We start from the raw sequence: 21,496 nt of genomic DNA on the forward strand, positions 1-21,496 counted from the left end.
GTATTTTTAGTAGAGATGGGGTTTCAGCATCTTGGCCAAGGCTGGTCTTGAACTCCTGACCTTGTGATCCACTCACATCAGCCTCCCAAAGTGCTGGGATTACAGGTGTGAGCCACCGCATCCAGCCTGTTTTTCTTTTCAACTCATGCATAGGTTCAGAATTTAGTTCCAGGTATGTGAGAGCTCCTTGTAGATGTTTTTCATGATGAGGCACCTGGCTTACCAGACTTTATCTGACTTCTTGCTTTATCTTCCCAACAGTTCAGCACCGTGGTGCGGTACAGGGTCCCATTAGCAGGTCTCATTTCCCACCACTGACTGAACATCAGCAGGCTCAATCCACAAGTCAGGGGCTGGGGATGTCTTGTCAAGAATTCCCTCTTTAGGGGCAGGAATGAAATTTATAACAACATCCATACTGTTTGATGGAGCCCTCTCTACATGGCAGGTGCTTTGCAAGCACTTTCAGAAAATCTGCACCAAACCTTATAGTAAGAATGATCGCTGTCATTCTACAAGTCAGAAACTTGAAGATCAGATTGGTGACATGTTCAGCTAATGCACTGCTAATAAACAGCAGAAGTGAAATTCAAATATCAAGACATTTGTCCTCAAAGTCTATGCTTGTAACTAGATTATGGCCCTGATATCCTAGGGGTGAATCAGTTTCAGTTTCCCTTCCTGGACCCCCAGCAAGTAGTACATGGGAATTATTCTAGTCCGGTATAGCGGGGAGCAGTGTAAACAGATAAACAAGGTTTTCCGGGGCCCTGGTTTAGGCAAATAAATCTTACAACTTATCTGGCTCTTTCAAGTCGACTTCAGACTTCGCCTTGCTTTCTAGACTGTTTTGCCTAATGGAAAATAGTGTTTGTATCTTTAGAAAATGTAATACGTGATTTTCCCCTCTCAATATTTTGCAGGTCAGAGATATTGCTTTGATCTATTTTCACATAATAATTATTATTTGAGGTCTCAAGACCAGCATCTTCATCTGTGTGGGGCTCTGAGTTAAGGGCTTTCCAGAGACTCACTCCTGCCGTTTCTTCTAACTCCCTTGAGCAGAGGCCAGCAGTAGAGAAACTTGATAAATAACACAAGTGCTATAATCCCTGAGTCCTCTAAGAAATGAGACACAAAGGAAAGATCCAGGGACATTTTCACAGATGTGCCCAATTCCAGTGGCCCCAGGTTTCCCACCCTGCTGTTGATATTCTGCCACCCATAGTCGTGATCATCTGGCTACAAAACAGCAGGCAAGGCTGTGCATGAGTGATGTTACAGGTGGGCTCATGGCTACATGGATGTCTAGACATGTCTAGGTGTCCATATGCAGGACCTGAGGGAAAGTGAGAAGGAGGGAGGGATGGGTGAATAGATGGATAGATAAATGGATGGAAAGGTGGACGAATGGATAGATGCATGAATGGATGGTGAATTGGTGGGTAAAATGGAGGGATGGATGGGTGTTTGGATGGATATTTGGATGGATGGATGGATGGATGGATGGATGGATGGATGGATGAGTGAATGGCTGAGTGGATGGGTAGACAGGTGGATGGATGGAGAGATGGATAAGTGTTTGATGGATGAATAGACACATACATGGATGGACAGGTGTTTGGGTGGATGTGTAGGTGGAAAGGTGGATAGATAGATAGATGGGTGGATGGATAGAGGGACTGATGGATCACTGAATACATGTGTCAATGAATGGGGGATGTATCATTGGAGGGATGGGTGAGTGGTATGGTGGATGAGTAGATGAATGAGTGGGTGGATAGATGGATGGATGGATGGATGGATGGTTGGATGGATGGTAAGGTGGATGAGTAGATGGGTGGATGGGTGGATGGATGGATGGATAGATGGATAGGTAGATAAGTAGATGATTGGATGGATGGATGCATGAGTAAACAGGTTCATGGATGGGTGGATGAGTGGATAGATGGATGGGTGGATGTGGGTGGCTGGATAGATATGTAGATAGATGCAAAGGTGAATGCAAAGAGAAGGATAGATTTATGAGGATGCAAGTGAGAATTTTTCTCCTTAGGTCATCAGGGGAAAATTAAATCCTTACCCACGGAGACATCTTTCATTTGAGTCAGGCAGAGGCCCTCTTTTTCTCTCTCCTGGTGACCAGGACAAAGAGAAATGCAGGTGTAGAGAGCTCTGATCAGGGAGCCCTGCCTGCCTCCTGTCCTGGGTGACCTTTACCAAATCCTCTCCTGCGTTGGGTCTCCCTAACCTTGATTTTCAAATGGTGGCTTCAGGGCTTTGCCTTTTCTGTGTCTGTGGTTCTCTGTCATCTATCAAGTCTCCCAGGGAGCCCCTTCTTGCCTCCCCTCTGTCCCTTTGGCCCCCACTCCAGACCCCAGACTGGGTTCAGGGTTCCTCTCTAGAAGTCACTGATGGGAGCCCACACCCTGAAAATGCCTTTAGTCTTCATTCCAGCCTCTCCTCTCTGCCAAGTGAGCTGCCCTTGCTGGCAGCAGTCACTTCCTCACACAGGGGGATGCTTGTTCCAGCACACTGAGTAAGTGCTGTCTCCTGAGTGGGAATTGGCTTGGCACAGGCGACCGTATGACTGTTTCAAAAAGTCATTCAAATTCTTTGTCTTGTACATCCTGTCTGGAAGCACGTATATACATTCCCGCCTCCCCACTGGGCACGCTCTTACCCTTGCGCTGCCATTCTGGTGCTAGGAGCTGTTTGTGCTGTCCACTGGGTGGACAGAGACGTCTTCCCCATGAAAAGAGGAATCAGGGTTTTCATGTATCTCTTAGAAGCCGGGCATTTGGCACCGGGGCTCATGAACAGCTGATTTTTGAAGTGGTCCCAGGGAAAGCTCAGTTGGTGACTGATAAGAAGAAGGTCTGGGCTGGGTGCAGGTCTCACGCCTGTAATCCCAGTACTTTTGGAGGCCGAGGCAGGCAGATCAGTCAGGAGATTGAGACCATCCTGGCCAACATGGTGAAACCCCGTCTCTACTAAAAATACAAAAATTAGCTGGCCATGGTGGTGCACGCCTGTAATCCCAGGTACTCGGGAGGCTGAGGCAGGAGATTCGCTTGAATCCCGGAGGTGGAGGTTGCAGTGAGCTGAGATCATGCCACTGCACTCCAGCCTGGGCGACAGAGCAAGACTACGTCTCAAACAAAAAAAAAAAAAAAAAAAAAAAGAAGAAAGGAAGAAGAAGAAGAAGAAGAAGAACATCTGAAGAATTGGGATACTGAGGCATCATCTTCCTTGCCCAGTGGATCTGTGGTTTCATACCCTGGGTCTCCTGAAGCTTTGGGGTTTTTCTCATTTTTTTTTTCTTTGAGATGGAGTCTTTTTTCTTTATAAATTATCCAGTCTTAGTTATTTCTTTATAGCAATGTGAGAACAAACTAATGGTGCTGGTCTCCTCAAGGAAACTCCTGCCACACCCCCTCCCTCATCTTCTTTCTCTCTGTCTTTTTGTTTTGAGGTGGAGTCTAACTCTCTCGCCCAGGCTGGAGTGCAGTGGTGCGATCTTGGCTCACTGCCACCTCCGCCTCCCGGGTTCAGGTCATTCTCCTGCCTCAGCCTCCCGAGTAGCTGGGATTACAGGCGCCCGCCACCATGCCCGGCTAATTTTTGTATTTTTAGTAGAGATGGGGTTTCACCATGTGGGCCAGGCTGGTCTTGAACTCCTGACTTCAAGCGATCCACCTGCCTCAGCCTCCCAAAGTTCTGGGGTGACAGGCGTGAGCCACCGCACCTGGCTGGGGATCCTTTTTCATCTCTGGTGGACAACAAGGTGTATTTTCCTCTTGCTGGTCCAGGGGGCAGCAGAGGGAGAAGGAGACTACAGTGTTTGGGGGTCCGTGTGTGTGTTCTTTTCCCCCCTGGTGCCTGCTGTGGGAGGTCACATAATGCAGATGGATAATGATGGCACAGACATATCCTCGCTGTTGGCCTCTCCCACTTTACTTCATTTGTGATGGATGCACCACCCATTGAGTTGATTATAAAAGGCTGATAAGGCTGGGCACGGTGGCTCACACCTGTAATCCCAGCACTTTGGGAGGCCAAGGCAGGCGGATCACCTGAGGTCGGGAGTTCGAGACCAGCCTGACCAACATGGAGAAACCCCATCTCTACTAAAAATACAAAATTAGCTGGGCGTGGTGGTACATGCCTGTAATCCCAGCTACTCAGGAGGCTGAGACAGGAGAATCGCTTGAACCAGGGAGGCAGAGGTTGCGGTGAGCAGAGATCGTACCATTGCACTCCAGCCTGGGCAACAAGAGGGCAACTCCATCTCAAAAAAATAAATAAATAAAATAAATGAATACATAAATAAAAGGCATAATAAGCAAATTGCTAACTGTGGGGTCTGTGACTATGGACTCTTTCTTGTGTTCAAAATAGCTTTTCTGCAGAGTTAACTGTGCAAACCCAGGACAGCAGATTCTGTTTGTGCCCTTCAAGTGGTTTAGATTTCAGATTACCAAGATAGAAAAATATGTTTGACTACCTGTCCACAGTTCTGTATTTTCAGTTCTTATAATGGGACTACAAATAAGACAACCTGAGCCTTTGTTTCCCATACCCCTGAATGCACAGAACCAGAGTTCTGAACGATGTTTTTGTTTGTTTGCTTTTGAGATGGAGTTTCACTCTTGTCGCCCAGGCTGGGTGCAATGGTGCGATCTTGGCTCATTGCAACCTCCGCCTCCGAGGTTCAAGTGATTCTCCCACCTCAGCCTCCCAAGTAGCTGGGATTACAGGCATGTGACACCACACTCGGGTAATTTTTTGTGTTTTTAGTAGAGACGGGGTTTCACATGTTGGCCAGGGTGGTCTTGAACTCCTGACCTCAGGTGATCCACCCATGCGGCCTCCCAAAGTTGTTGGGATTACAGGCGTGAGCCACTGTGCCAGGCCTGAGCAATGTTTAAATCCTCAAAGCATCACTAGAATTCTGATAACTGTTTTTACAAAGAAGGAAAGGAATCATTATTGGCAAGGATGTGGAAACATTAGAATTCTCCTACTTTGCTGGTGGGAAGTTAAAGTGGTGTAGCCACTATGGAAGGCAGTTTTATGGCTCTTCAGAAAATTAAACACAGAATTACCAAGTGATGTAGCAATCCTACTTCTACCTAATACCTAAAGATACTGAAAACAAATGTGTAAACAGAAATTTGTACACAAATGTATGTAGCAATATCCAAAATGCCAAAAGGTGAAAACAGTCCGATGTCCATCTAATACTAAATGGATAAACCCCATGTGTTCCATCCATACAATGGAATATTATTCAGCCACGAAAAGGAATGAAACAGTCACATGCTACAACATGAATGAACCTTGAAGACGTTATGCTAAGTGCAGAAAGAGAGACACAAAAGGTCACATATTGTAGGAGTCCATTTATATAAAATGTCCAGAATAGTTAAAGCCATCAAGACAGAAATTGAACTCATGGTTGCTTAGGGCTGGGGGCAGGGAAAATGAACAGTGATTACTTGATAGGTACGAAGTTTCCTTTGGCGGTGATGGCAGGGTTCTGGAACTAGATAGCAGTGATGGTGGCATAACACTGTGGATGTAGTCAATGCGCCTGAATTGTTCACTTAAAAATGGTAAAAACGGGCCGGGCGCGGCGGCTCACGCCTGTAATCCCAGCACTTTGGGAGGCCGAGGCAGGCGGATCATGAGGTCAGGAGTTCGAGACCAGTCTGGCCAACATGGTGAAACCCCGTCTCTACTAAAAATACAAAAATTAGTTGGCTCTGGTGGCGCATGCCTGTATTGCTAGCTACTCAGGAGGCTGAGGCAGAAGAATCGCTTGAACCCGGGAGGCGAAGGTTGCAGTGAGCTGAGATTGCGCCACTGCACTCCAGCCTGGGCGACAGAATGAGACTCCGTTTCAAAAAGAAAAAAAAAAAAAAAAAAGATGAAAACAGGCTGGGTGCAGTGGCTCACACCTTTTAATCTCAACTCTTTGCGAGGCCAAGGTGGGAGGATTGCTTGAGCCTAGGAGTTGAAGACCAGAGTGGGCAACACAGATCCAGTCTCTACCAAAAAATTTTAAAAAATCAGCTGGGCACGGTGGCGTGTGCTTGTAGTCCCGTCTCCTCTGGAGGCTGAGGTGGGAGGATCACTTGAGCCCAGGAGGTCAAGGCTGCAGTGAGAGGTGTTTCTGTCACTGCACTGCAGCCTGGGTGACAGAGGGAGACCCCCATCTCTAAAACAAATAAATACATATGTACACAAATGAAAAGGTTAAATGATGAAATTAATGTTATGGGTATTTTTCCACAACAACATGCTTCCCCACAGAAATCTCAGTGGAGAAGACAGGAGTGTGGCAGACCAACATGCTTCTGGAGCTCCACAAAGCTGTCCCTTTAATTGGCAGCACGCCTGGTGAAGGCTGTTTGCTTTGTGGACGTTGACCTCCACCTGCTGGCCCAGTGACTCCTGCTATCTTCATTTTGTCCAGTTCACCTCTCAGTCCCCAGAGCCGTACAACCATCTATAGGTTCTTGCTTCTCCCTTTTCCCCTAGAAGCATCTCCTGGGAATCACCCCTGACCAAAAGCCCCAGGCACCTCTCCAAGACCCCCTACAGAAGCCTAAACAGCCCTTACATTCATTGCCTTTGGACCTACCCGAAGTCAACAAGTTCCAAACTCGTCAGAAACTGGGAGAAGTCTCAGCCCCAAATCAATAGCAGCCGTTGTCAGCTCCTCCCAGCTCAAAGTCCCCCAGAGATCGGTTCCCTGGTCTGAGTCAGGAACGAGAGACTGAAAAGCATGGGGATCTGGTGCTTTTTCTTCATAGGGTTAGTCGCTTTCCCCACCAAAAAACCTACCAACTGAAAGATCACTGATTGGATGGGTCAACCAGCCTCAGCTACCAGATGTCTTTGAGATGGGGAGCCAGCCCCCTAAAGCTGAGTCTCTGTGTGTGGCTTCCAAATACCTGGTCCCCTGGGTGCAGACAGAAGAGAGGACGCAGAGGCTGGACATCTCCCAGAGGAGGGGGAGACTGGCTGGTCACCAGATAATCTTGCTTCCCTCTCTGATGTCATAGGAACATGAACAGACTTGGAGATGCTGATTGAAAGTACATGTCACCTGAAGGAGACATTGGTTCCAGAGCCATTAATTCCTAACCTCCTACCATACTCTCTGCATGGTGGAAGATGCCAGAACATTCTCAGAGCTTGAGAAAAAAGAGGAATTGAGAGAAGGGACGGGGGTCAAGAGATAGAGAAGGTGAGAGGAATGTGAGAGAAGCAGGGGACGGAGGAGAAGAGAGGAAGGATAACTCAGAAGCTCAGGTCTAACTTCACCCCACTCCCCTTAGGACCCCCCCACTCTAACTGTTGTTTCTGAGAGTTCCTGGGGGCCACCCATAAACAATGAGGTTAAATGTAAATGGAAGGGCAGGACTCTGTTGAAGTCTGCAGAAGGTACCCTGTTGGCTGCATAGTCACCAGCTCTCATGACCCAAAGAGGAGAGTGAGCAGGTGACTGGATCATCAGTGAGGGTAAATCTGGAAGACAGAATTGGAGCCAGGTGCAGTGGCTCACAACTGTAACCCCAGCACCTTTGGAGGCCAAGGTAGAAGGAGCACTTGAGCCTCAGGAGTTTGAGACCAGCCTGGGCAACATAGCCAGACCCTGTCTCTACAAATAATTTTTAAAAATTCATTGAAGGATTTCTAAAGACCACTTGAGTGGTTTATGTCTCCTGGAGTCAGAACCCAGGGAGGATTTTTGCTGAAATACCAAAGCCGCAGGGAGCATGAATAGAGATGTTCAGACAGAAATTAAGTTTGAAGAAATAGACTTTGGCAGAGAGGCACGTGGCCACAGACAAGAACTCATCATGCATTCATTCTTTCACTCACTCAGCAAACATTAAATGGACTCTGTCTAACTGCATTTCCCTCTCTTGACAAGAGGGATACATCGGAGAGAGACAGGCTGAAGGAATGTAGAGTTGATATTGGACCTGGGAGCTTTCCAAAGGCACTGTGCTCTCCTGTGCCCTTCTTCGCATCCCAGTCTCTACGATGTTGACCGTGTTCGTGGGTTTCACATTGCTGTTGACATACCAGAAAGAATATGCATGAACCACAGTGACAAATGTCATTCATAATCATTTTCAGCACAGAATAACCTACAGAAATGTCTTCTGTGTACCTTCCCCTGCAATATTTTGTGATTCTGATGCAACTGGAGACAAAACATCTCTTATCCATGGCCTCTCTTGAATCAATTTTATCTCCAATCTGCCTTTTCATGGGTACTCTAACAAGAAAGCAAACAAGGAAAGTTCAGCTGGTCTAGCAGTTCTGAGACAGCAAATTATCTCACTGTTGATGTGGACAAAGAGCCTCTTGCAGAAAGACTATACTTAACTCTGAGAATCTGGGTCCCAGCTTTTTTTTTTTTAATCCAGAGAGACGTAAATCTGAAAGAATCTGAGTCCCAGCCGAGCTGAGAGAGGAGTAAAATCACGGAGGCATGCCTCCACTCAGAACACATCATTATCGTGCTTTTATATGGAAGGCACAGCCATTCACTCATTGTCCGATAGACGTTTCCATTGAACGTTGGATCTCTTCAAACCAAGTGTCTGCAAACATGATGGGTTTTGCACTGATGCTGAGGATGAATCCAACAGGAAAGATACAGAGAAACATCACATTGCACCCCAGAGACATATGCAATTATTGTTTATTGATTAAAAATATAATGAAAATTAGGAGGCTGAGGCAGGTGGATCATGAGGTCAGGAGTTCGAGACCAGCCTGGCCAATATGGTGAAACCCCGTCTCTACTAAAAATACAAAAATTAGCCGGGTGTGGTGGCACGCACCTGTAGTCCCAGCTACTCGGGAGGCTGAGACAGGAGAATCGCTTGAACCCGAGAGGTGGAGGTTGCAGTGGGCCGAGATGGTGCCACAGCACTCCAGTCTGGGTGACAGAGCAAGACTCTGTCTCAATAATAATAATAATGAAAAATAAAAGAGGAACAAGGGAAACCAAAAGTAAGCGTATAGAAGAGCAGTTTAACATGCAATTTCATTTTATTTATTTCTGCTTTAAGTTTATTATTTAAATGGTATCTCAAACGAAGAAGGCTGGCCACTCGTTCCCTCTTCTGTTACCCTATCATTGGAGGTTTTGTTCTTTGCCTTGGTATGTTGAGAGAACCCAGAGGTCTGTGAGTAAAATTCCGGGGTTTTGTCAACTCAGATGGGACAAAGTCTACATCTCTGGGTTCACTCACTTGTAACTGAAATTCAGCATTGCCTGTGGACATAGGCAACATCCCACAACAATGTTAGTCTTGCCTGTAGATTTCTCACCAACCATTATCACAAATACTTTCCTATCCCTGTACAGGAGTTGCAGATGAAATATCCTTTATGCTCATGACCACTTCAGCGTTACTGTGCATCTTGGACCTGCCTCAAATTATTTTAATCTTATGAATATCTAATGCATTACTGTGTTTCCATTGCACAAAATAAAACAATGACTTAGCAGTTGCCCAGGCGAGGGGAACCACTTCCAACAGGTGGGACTAATCATTCAGGGTTTTCGAAAGTTCTCTGTGTAGTTGGATTTTAAGCTCCTGAGTTAATCTGATAGAACTTTCTCATCTGGTTTTAAGAAGTGTGGTTAATGGGGATCTCTTGACTGTAGAATCAGTTTTAAAACACCACATTTACTTCTGACAGTAGGTAAATTTTACCTTGGGCAGAATTGTATGGCCTTGGTGGTAGTTAGTATAAATTAGTATGAATTAACTTGGGCATATGTGAAAATTACTATAGCATAAATTAATGAAGGCCTATGTGAAATTTTGCAATTATTTTCTGTATTCACCTAAAATGGCATTGCACTGGAAATATAGTATGCTTCTTTTGTGATTTCTACATATCTCTGTTTTTTTCTCATATCAGATTCTACTTTACCCCTCAGTGACAGTCATTTTACACCCCTCTCTGTCTCAATGTCCTAGGCACCCTGGGACCATCCTGGCTGGAAGGCATAGTGACATTGCTGGCCTGAGCTGAAGTGCCGATTAAAATAAATTGAAAGCTGAATTACCTTATGAACAGCTGCTTTACCCAGGAACAAATGTGGAGAGGAACTCCTTGAAACTGTGTTCTCAAGTAGACCACTTTTGAGAAATTATACATTTATCATAACATCTCAAGTCCTGCTCTACATAGAATGACCATTATTATCAAGAAAAGTTCTCCATTCCCTGTAATTCATAAGGCAATGCAGGCCTAACCAGAAAACAGGAACTGCGACAACCTTGCATCAGACACATTCGATCTCTCTATTCATAGTTGCATTCTCTTTTTTTTTGTTTACAAAGCCAATCACCAATAACTCGGAAAACAAAAACAAAAAAAAAAAAATGAACACATTGTTGAGCTCGCTTCTGAGAAAGATTCTGCATTGTGAATGTCAGGATTCCACATTTCTGAAGCACCTTTGCTCCTCCAGAAAGCATATCTCTAGTTTCATGGTGATACGAGAGAGAAATGACAATTGTCTGTATTATCAGGATGGCCCATTGTGCTCTGTGGATCTCAATCAATGTGGACATCAGCCATGATCAAGCTCTTTCTTTTCTCTCTCTCTCCTTCCTTCCTTCCCCCTTCCCCTCCCCTCCCCCTTTCCCTTTCCTTTACCTTGTTTCTTGCTTCCCTTCCCCCTCCCCTTCCCTTCCCTCCTCTCTCCTCCTCCCTCCCCCCTTCCCCCTCCCCTTCCCTTCCCCCTCCCCTTCCCTTCCCCCTCCCCTTCCCTTCCCCCTCCCCTTCCTTCCCCTTCCCTTCCCCCTCCCCTTCCCTTCCCCCTCCCCTTCCTTCCCCTTCCCTTCCCCCTCCCCTTCCCTTCCCTCCCCTCTCCCCTTCCCTTCCCTCCCCTCTCCCCTTCCCTTCCCCCTCCCCTTCCTTCCCCTTCCCTTCCCCCTCCCCTTCCCTTCCCTCCTCTCTCCTCCTCCCTCCCCCCTTTCCCCTCCCCTTCCCTTCCCCCTCCCCTTCCCTTCCCCCTCCCCTTCCTTCCCCTTCCCTTCCCCCTCCCCTTCCCTTCCCCCTCCCCTTCCTTCCCCTTCCCTTCCCCCTCCCCTTCCCTTCCCTCCCCTCTCCCCTTCCCTTCCCTCCCCTCTCCCCTTCCCTTCCCTCCCCTCTCCCCTTCCCTTCCCTCCCCTCTCCCCTTCCCTTCCCTCCCCTCTCCCCTTCCCTCCCCTCTCCCCTTCCCTCCCCCCTCCCCTTCCCCCTCCCCTTCCCCCTCCCCTTCCCTCCCATTCCTCCTCTCTCCCCCTCCCCTACCCCCTCCCCTTCCCTCCACTTCTGTCCCCCTTCCCTTTTCTTTTCGCTTCTTTTCTTTTCTTGAGACAGGATCTCACTCTGTTGCCCAGACTGGAGTACAGTGAAGTGATCATGGGTCACTGCAGCTTCGACCTCCTGGGCTCAAGCCGTGCTCTCTCCTCAGCCTCCTGAGTAGCTGGGACTACACACGCACACCACCATGACTGCCTAATTTTTTAAATTTTTATATTTTTTGGAGACAGCGTTTCATGCAGGTTTTCATGCCCAAGCTGGAGTGCAGTGGTACAGTCTCTTGGCTCACTGCAACGTCTGCCTCCTGGGCGAAAGCAGTATTCCTACCTTGGCCTCCCACGTAGCTGCAGCCACAGGCACTAGCCACCACGCTCGGCTATTTTTTTTTATTTTTTAGACACAAGACTTCACCATGTTGTCCAGGCTGGTCTCGAACTCCTGAGCTCAAGTGATACACCCGCCTTAGCCTCCCAAAGTGCTGGGATCACAGGCATGAACCACCATGCCCAGCCTGGTTAATGTTTAAATGTTTCCTGGAGATGGGGCTTCACTATGTAGTGCAGGCTGGTCTTGAACTCCTGGGCTCAAGTGATCCACCTCAGCCTCCTAAAGTGCTGGGATGACAGATATGCACCCCCACACTCAGAGATATTATTTTCTTTTCTTTTTTTTTTTCTTTTTATTTTTTTGAGAGGGGTCTTGCTCTTGTCCCCCAGGCTTGAGTGCAGTGGCTCGTTCTCAGCTCACTGCAACCTCCACCACCCGGGATCAAACAATTCTCCTGCCTCTGCCTCCCAAGTAGCTGGGATTACAGGCACCTGCCACCACGCCTGGCTGATTTTTGTATTTTTTAGTAGAGATGGTGTTTCATTATGTTACCCAGGCTGGTCTCAAACTCCTGACCTCAGGTGATCTGCCCGCCTTGGCCTCCCAAAGTGCTGGGATGACAGGCGTGAGTCACCGCGCCTGGCTGACCATGCTTTCACACAAATGTCCCAGACCCTGGGGACGACAGCTGACCAGAGAGTGATTGAACTATGCAGAGTCCCAGCCTCACCTCCCACATCCCTTCTCTCTCATTTGCCCACCTATTACCCCTACCTTAAAAAAACACCCTGTAGAAATACCCACTAGGGCCAGACGCATTATGTGAGGCTTTTCATTTTTTATTCTTTTTTTTTTTTTTGAGATGGAGTCTCACTGTGTTGCCCAGGCTGGAGCGCAGTGGCATGATCTTGGCTCACTGCAACCTCTGTCCCCCCGGATTCAAGCAATTCTCCTGCCTCAGTCTCCTGAGTAGCTGGGATTACAGGTGTGCACCACCACGCCTGGCTAATTTTTGTATTTCTAGTAGAGACGGGGTTTCGCCATCTTGGCCAGGCTGGTCTCAAACTCCTGACCTCAGGTGATCCACCTGGCTCGGCCTCCCAAAGTGCTGGGATTAACAGGCGTGAGCCTCCGCGCCTGGCCAACCATGTTTCTATACAAGCGTCCCAGACCCTGGAGATGACAGCAGACCAGAGAGTGATTGAACTATGCAGAGTCCCAGTCCCACCTCCCAAATCCCTTCTCCTCTCTCCTTTGCCCACCTACTACCCCCCACCTTAAAAAACACCCTGTATCAATACCCGGTAGGGCCAGAGGCATTATTTGAGGCTCTTCATTATTTTCTGAGACATCAATAGACTACGTGTTGGCAGAATAATTGACTTTGCAATTTACATTGGTGATATAGGAGGGACAGATCCTGCTTCTCGGAAACCTCCATGATTTGCACATGTGCCTGCCTCCTCCTTTGCAGGTGCGGTGTTTGGGAAGGAGCAGTGAGCCACAGGGGGATGGGAGCCCAAGGTGTGGCCCTGCAGGGAGGGTCCAATGGCCCATGAGTGTGGGTGATTCAAGAATGTCAGACTGGCTGGGCACGGTGGCTCACTCCTGTAATCTCAGCACTTTGGGAGGCCAAGGCGGGCAGATTACCTGAGGTCGGGAGTTGGAGACCATCCTGGCCAAGATGGTGAAACCCTGTCTCGACTAAAAATACAAAAATTAGCTAAGTGTAGTAGCAGGTGCCTGTAATCCTAGCTACTTGGGAGGCTGAGGCAGGGAAGTGCTTGAACCCAGGAGGTGGAGGTTGCAGTGAGCCAAGATCATGCTACTGCACTCCAGCCTGGGCAACAGGGTGAGACTCCAACTCAAAAAAAAAAAAAAAAAAAAAAGAGCATCTGTCATTTGCAACAACACGGGTGAATTTGAAGGATATTGTGTTCAGTGAAATAAGCCAGGCACGGAAAGACAAGTACCACATGATCTCATTCCTATGTAAAAGTCTAGAAACCTTGGTCTCACAGAAGCAGAGAGCACAGTGGTGGTTACCAGGGGATGGGCATGGGTGGGGCATGGGAAGATGTTGGTCAGAGTATTACAGGCCACTAGACAGGCATGGGCGGGCAGGAGAGGGCTCTTCCACCCACCAGCAATGCCAGGTGCTGGTTCAGCGATGATCGCATTGCCTCTCTAAAAAATGATAAATTGGCGGCTGGGCACGGTGGCCCACACCTGTCATCCCAGCACTTTGGAAGGCCGAGGCAGGTGGATCACGAGGTCAGGAGTTCAAGACCAGCCTGGCCAAGATGGTGAAACCCCATCTTTACTAAAAATACAAAATTAGCCAGACATGATGGTGCATGCCTGTAATCCCATGCTTGAAACTGGGAGGCGGAGGTTGTTGCAGTGAGCTGAGATCGTGCCACTGCACTCCAGCCTGGGCGATAGAGTGAGACTCAGTGTCAAAAAAAAAAAAAAATTGGCAGCCTGTGGCAGGGAGAGACCATTTCCTGATGTTCCACACCTGTCACACTCAATTGTTCATTGAGTGCAAGTGCCGTGGAAACACAACTTCCTAAGCATGCACATTAGGAGAAAACATGGCGGAATATGACCTTCTGAGGTCACTCCACTGGAAACAGGAAGAAAGCCTCAGATATGGGCACGCTACAACTTCCTAAACCTCATGCTCACCTCCCAAGCATAAGGAGGGCACTGTGCATGCGGGCAGCTCACCCTAGGGGAAGAATCATGGGAAAGGGATACAAGATGCTAGAAGTGGACCAGCCTATAAGGTCCTGTAAAGTTAAACACCACACTTGTTCTTCAGGGCGCCTGCTTGGGTCTCTTTCAAGTGTACTTCCGTTCTTTTCTGTTCTGAAGCTTTTAAAATAAACTTCCACTCGGCTGGGCGCAGTGGCTCATGCCTGTAATCCCAGCACTTTGGGAGGCTGAGGTGGGTGGATCAGAAGGTCAGAAGTTCGAGACCAGCCTAGCCAATACGGTGAAACCCCGTCTCTACTAAAAATACAAAAATTAGCCCTGCATGGTGGCGCACACCTGTAATCCCAGCTACTCAGGAGATTGAGGCAGGAGAATCGCTTGAACCCGGAAGGTGGAGGTTGCAATGAGCCGAGATCGCACTGCTGCACTCCAGCCTGGGTGGCAAGAGCGAGACTCTGTCTCAAAACAAAAACAAAAACAAAAGCCTTCCACTCCTGCTCTGAAACTTGCCCGGGTCTCTCTCTCTGCCTTATGGCCCTCAGTCAAATTCTTTCTTCTGAGGATGCAAGAATTCCAGTGGCTGCAGGCCTGTATGGATTCATCACTGGTAACTCAGATACCTTCCACCACATTATAATAAAAGGGCAGAACATTTCAGTTAGACCTAAGGAATAAGTTCAAGAGATATATTGCACAATGTGGTGATTGTAGTTAATATCAATGTACTGCATACTTGAAAACCACTAAGACAGTAGATTTTAACTGTTTTCACCACATTAAAAAAATAAGTATGGGCTGGGAATGGTGGCTCACGCCTGTAATCCCAGCACTTTGGGAGGGTGAGGGGGGTGGATCACGAGGACAGGAGATTGAAACCATCCTGGCTAACACAGTGGAACCCCACCTCTACTAAAAATACAAAAATTTAGCCAGGCGTGGTGGCAGGCACCTATAGTCCCAGCTACTTGGGAGGCTGAGGCAGGAGAATTGCTTGAACCCAGGAGGCAGAGGTTGCAGTCAGCCGAGATTACACCACTGCACTCCAGCCTGCATGACAGAGCCAGACTCCATCTAAAAAAAAAAAAAAAGTATTTATGGTAATATGTTAATTAGTTTTAGTTACCCATCCCATAATGGATACATATTTCAGTATATGAATGGAATGTTATGTTGTATATCAGAAGCATATCTAATTTTTGTTTGTCAATGACAAAAAGAAAATAGTCCTCATCATTGTGACTGGCTCAGGCTAAACACATACACTATTTTTATTTCTGCAGTTACTCTTCTATTTCTGTGCTACGTCTTAAAATTATCCATTGCAAATGGCATGTAGCTTTGAAAATATAAACTTGCCACCTGATCCAAAACTTTTCAGTTCTGTCATAGTTTTGTGTTTTTTTTTTTTTTTTGAGATGGAGTCTCATTCTGTTGCCCAGGCTGGAGTGCAGTGGCATGATTTCAGCTCACTGCAACCTCCACCTCCTGGGTTCAAGCGATTCTCCTGCCTCAGCCTCCCGGGTAGCTGGGACTACAGGCGCATGCTGCCACGCCCGGCTAATTTTTTGTATTTTAGTAGAGACAGGGTTTCACCGTTGTTGCCCAGGCTGGTCTCGAACTCCTGAGCTCAGGCAATCCGCCTGCCTCAGCCTCCCAAAGTGCTAGGATTACAGGCGTGAGCCACGGTGCCAGCCTCCGTCATAGTTTCTAAAACACCCACACCACAACAGTAATCTTGACTCAACTTCAGCTCCTCATCCTGTGTCTAAGCCAAGTTTAGCCGAAGAAAACATCTGCCGAGAAAGTAAAAACAAAAACATCTGCCAAAGGCAAGAACCCGGTGGGAAGCCCCCTGAGCCCAGTGGCCTGCAGAGTCTGTTCTAGTGACAAAGCAGGCAACTGGAAGAGATCAGGGCTGCGAGACAGCGTGGGTGGGTTTTTATCTGCTGCTTCTGTAAATTCATTGCATGATACGTCTGTTTTTCAGAGGTCCCAAAGCAAAGAAACAAAGCCCCACAGAGTTCACCCAGAGGGAAGGCCTTCACTGGATCAGGCTATAAGAGAAGGACTCTCCCCTGAGAAAGATAAATACTTATTTTGGGGCCGTGTTTAGAGAAAAAGGAAGAACGATGGCTTTCCCATAGAAACATTTACTTATTTTGTGATTTGAAAATGGACTTTTATGTTTTAGGAATTATGTGGATGGGATGTTTTCTTGGGTGATCGATTTGAAATTGCAGAGGGGAGCAGGTGCCATGTGCTGGCAATGGCCGGCCTTCCTTCCTTCCTTCCTTCCTTCCTTCCTTCCTTCCTTCCTTCCTTCCTTCCTCCATTCCTCCTACCCCCCGTTTCTTCCTTCTTTCTCTCTCTTTCTTTCCTTTTCTCTTTTTCTTTCTTTTTCTTTCTTTTCTTTCTTTCTTTCTCTCTCTCTCTTTCTCTCTCTCTCTCTTTCATTTTGTTTGTTTTAATGAGTGAGAGTAAAGAGAAAGAAAAGAACTGTTTTTATTTTTTGTCTACCTTTATTGTAAGGAGAGAGTGAGGATACCATGCCACACATGCAGGGTCCTGAGCAGAGGGCTGCACCCTGCTTAGTTCTAAAGACACCTAGACTTTATCCTGAAAGCCACTGAGAGGCCCATATTTTGAAACACTCAGCCTCTCAGAAGAGGATAGAATGGGTTGCCAGTGTAATAGGGAGAGAAATCGAACATAGCTGACTCCATGTTGCTTCTGACTCCTCAAGCTAACTGCTTTTAGGCACTTCTGCACACGGGCCAAGTTAATCATGGAAAGAACTTAGATTACAGTTTAACTGGAAAGCAAGGATGATAAGCGTTCCTTTCCAAAACTAACCTCTGAGGAGATAAGAAGGGCATGCACACAAGTAACAATGTTATATTGAAGACTTGTAGGAGCGCTGTGACCTGAGCAAGGACAAAGTTTTGCAATCTCCTTGGGCCCCTGCTGATGCCCAAGTGTCTGTGGTCACCAGCCACCCCCCTCACCTCAGTCTCCTCCTTGTTCCCCTTCAGTGTACCCCTTCAATGTACAAAGAAGCTTGAGATTCATGCCTTTAAAGATGGTTCGTTAGGACATGGGTCCAGTATCTTCCTGACTTGCTGGCTCTCCAAATAAAGATGCTTTTCTTGCTCTAACTTTTTGTCTCGTGAATCATTGGCTGTTATGCAGTGAGCCTCAGGAACTTTGGACTCCACAGCACCAGGACAACTCTCAGGACTCCCAGTCTCTATTGGGTGCAGGAATCACTGGGGAGTCTGGCTGAAGTGCAGACTCTGATTGAGGAGGCCTGGGACACGAGGCCTGAGATTCTGCATCTCCAGTAAGCACCAAGGGGATGTTGATGCTGCTGATCCAGGGACCACACCTTGGAGAGCAATGCTGAGAAGCTGGTGGAAGAGCCCAGGCTCATGAAGATCTGAACATGGTCCATAGCAGGGAGGTTGGGGAAATGAGATAAAAATGTTAAAAATGGCAGTTACCTTCCTGGAGAAGAAATGGCTTTTCCATTCCTTATTAGGCTCATGTCTTTGGAACTAGCCCCCACTGGTCTCCTTCCTGTTATATACCTGCAGTTACCATGTTCTTGTTAAGGAAGAATGGCAAATGCAAAAAAAAAAAAAAAAAAAGAGGAAGTTGATCATGTTTGGTTGCTTTTGGTCATCACAATAAATAAATAAAATCTGAAATTTCCCCCTGACTTTGCAAATGTTTTCTTCCAAGGAGAGCAACAGACATGTGTCAGCCTTATTGGATTTCTTTGGTTCCCGAACAGCCTGCCATGAGGTATGAAGGACACATGACCTTTTATGTAATTGGTGAGACCCAATGTCTTCCAGATGTTGGGTGTCTCATCCCAGTGTGAGGATTTTTTTTTATTATTTTTTTGAGATGGAGTCTTGCTCTGTTGCCCTGGCTAGAGTGCAATGGTGCAATGTTGGCTCACTGCAACCTCCACCTCTCAGGTTCAAGCGATTTTCCTGTCTCAGCCTCCCGAGTAGCTGGGATTACAGGTGCGTGCCACTACACCCAGCTAATTTTTTGCATTTTAGTAGAGACGGGATTTCACTGTGTTGCCCAGGCTGGTCTTGAACTCCTGAGCTCAGGAAATCCACGCCCCTCGGCCTCCCAAAGTGCTGGGATTACAGGCATGAGCCACCGCGACTGGCCGAGGATTAAGTTTTTAAAACTTAATTTCCCTTTAGAAAAGAGAATTTAACCTAGATGTTGGTTCTTAATTTATCTTGAGTAAAAGTTGTCTTTGCTAATATGAATTTTTAAAGTCATCAATTGGTTCATACAGTTTTGTGTGATTCACCTCCAAATGTTTTCAGCAGAGGGAGTAACAAGAAAGAAAAGGTAATTTTTTTTTTTTTTTTTTTTTGAGATGGAGTCTCGCTCTGTCGCCCAGGCTGGAGTGCAGTGGTGCAACCTCGTCTCACTGCAACCTCTGCCTCCCAGGTTCAGGCTATTCCCCTGCCTCAGCCTCTCGAGTAGCTGGGACTATAGGCGCCCGCCACCACACCTGGCTAATTTTTTGTATTGTTAGTATAGATGGGATTTCACGGTGTTAGCCAGGATGGTCTCGATCTCCTGACCTCGTGATTCGCCCACCTTGGCCTCACAAAGTGCTGGGATTATAGGCGTGAGCCACCACGCCTGGCCCAGAAAAGGTGATTTTAAAGGCAAAGAAGCGAGATGACTTGAGTAACGGTGTTCCCCATGCATGGTTATTAACAAATGTTTCCTGACTGCTTACCTGTCAAAAACATTGAACAGGTAGAATGTGTGGTCCCAGGAGGTGACAAACTTCCTATTTTAAATGAAATATTTCAAAACAGATTAGACCTCCAAGTCAAAGGGGTGATAAGGAATTTCATGGGAGTTCAATGATCTTTTAAAAAAAAATGATTGTAAGCCTATTAGGAATTAGCATATAAAGTTTGCTATGGTCCGAATGTTGATATCTCCCCAAAATTTCTATTTTGATGTCCTCACCTCCAAGCTGATGGTGTTCGGACATGGGGCCTTTGGGAGGTGATGAGGTCGTGAAGGTGGGGCCTCATGGATGGGATGAGTGCCCTTATAAAAGGGGCCCCAGAGAGCTCCCTCGCCCCTTCCAGCATGTGAGGACACAGCCAGAAGGCGCCATCTAGGAACCAGGAAGTGGGTCCCCACCAGACACTGAATCTGCCACGTCTTTGCCTTGGACCTCCAGCCTCCAGGACTGTGAGCGATAAATTCTCCAGCGTTGTTAGAGGGCTTGCTCCTTGATCACAATAAACTGCATGCTTGTTTTTCCCCTAAATTTCTGTGCCGCAAAGTGATGGTGCTAGGAGGTGGGGTCTTTAGAAGGTGGTGTGATCATGAGGGTGGAACCTCATGAAGGGGATCAGTGCCCTTACAAAAGGGACCCCAGGGGCTGGGCACGGTGGCTCACACCTGTAATCCCCAGCACTTTGGGAGGCCCAGGCCGGTGGTCACCTGAGATCAGGAGTTGGAGACCAGCCTGACCAACATGGCAAAACCCAGTCTCTACTAAAAATAGAAAAATTAGCCGGGCATGGTGGCGGGCACTTGTAATCCCAGCTACTCGGGAGGCTGAAGCAGGAGAATCGCTTGAACCCGGGAGGCAGATGTTGCAGTGAGCTGAGATCGCACCATTGCACTCCAGCCTGGGCGATAAGAGTGAGACTCCGTCTCAAAAAAAATAAAAAAGAACATCGACTCAGACTTGCTTTGCTGGAAAGTATATTAGAATGTGTCTCATCCCCCTTGTATCCATTTCCCAGGGCTGCTGTAGCAAGCCATCACACACCAGGTGGCTTACAACTGGGATTCATTCTGTCGCAGTTTTGGAAGCAGAAGTCTGAAATCAAGGTGTGGGCAGGGTGGGTTCCTTCTGGAGGCTCTAGTGGTGGATCCGTTCCTTACCGCAGCCCCGAGCCTATTCCCATGGCCTCAGGGGCTTCCCATACAGTGCATAGGATGGCCTCACCTCAGAAAGTGATCCAGACCCGAATGTCCACAGTGCTGAGGCTGAGAAACCCTGTCTTAGCTTCAAACGCACACATACACTCTCTCTCTGTTTTGCTCGCTGGCTCTCTTTCTCTCTGTCTCATATATTGATCTAGCTGTCTATCTATTTCTCCGTAGGTATCTACCTATATCCATCTGTCTATCTGTCATCTACTTCTTTTTCTTTTTCGTTAGAGACAAGGTCTTGCCCTTTCGCCCCAGCCAGACTGCCGTGGCGTGATCATAGCTCACTGCAGCATCAAATTCCTGGGCTCAAGCAATCCTCCTACGTCAGCCTCCCAAGTAGTTGTGACTATAGGGGTGCACCACCATTTCCTGCTAGTTTTTAAATTTTTTGTAGAGATGGGGTCTTGCTATGTTGTCCAGGCTAGTTTCAAATTCCTGGGCTCAAGCAATTCATTCGCCTTGGCCTCCCAATATGCTGAGATTACAGGTCTGAGCCATAGCACTTGGCCTCTCATGTATTTGTATCTCTATCTGTCTCTCTCTCTCTTTCTCTCTCTCTCTGTCTCTCTATTATCTATGTATCCATTCATCCATCTATCCATATCTATCTATATATCTATCCATATCTATCTATATGTCTATCTGCCTATGCATTTATCTATCTATATCATCTATATATCCATTTATCCATCTATATTATCTATCCATATCTATCATCTATATATCTACCTATTCTTTCTATCTATATATCTATCCATTCATCCATTTATCCATATCTATCATCTATATATCTATCCATAACTATGTATCTACCTATCTATCCATTCATCTATCTCTATCCATCTATCTATCTACCTACCTGTCTGCCTATTCATCCATGTATCTACCTCTATCCATCATTTATCCATGAATCTACTTCTTTCTATCAATATATCCATACATGTATCTATATCTATTTAGCAATCATCTATCCATGTATCTATTTGGATCTCTATCAATCCATGTATTGATATTTACCTATCTATGCATTAATGTATCTATATCCATTTATCCATGTATCTCTATGTATCTCTACATTTCATATACA

The 21,496-nt window shown here is 46.9% G+C and overlaps 1 pseudogene across 1 annotated transcript in view; it reads left to right on the forward strand.

Annotated features, from left to right (window-relative positions):
• The window catches only part of CD99P1 (CD99 molecule pseudogene 1), a 47,965-nt pseudogene extending 39,216 nt beyond the window's left edge, over nucleotides 1–8,749 (forward strand). Inside the window, exon 9 of the transcript NR_033380.1 lies at nucleotides 6,547–8,749. The product of NR_033380.1 is annotated as a CD99 molecule pseudogene 1, transcript variant 1 (transcript). The remainder of the gene's footprint in view (nucleotides 1–6,546) is intronic.
• Nucleotides 8,750–21,496: the final 12,747 nt, after the last annotated feature.

Source organism: Homo sapiens, chromosome X (genome assembly GCF_000001405.40).
Source record: "Homo sapiens chromosome X, GRCh38.p14 Primary Assembly".
Lineage (NCBI taxonomy): Eukaryota > Metazoa > Chordata > Mammalia > Primates > Hominidae > Homo > Homo sapiens.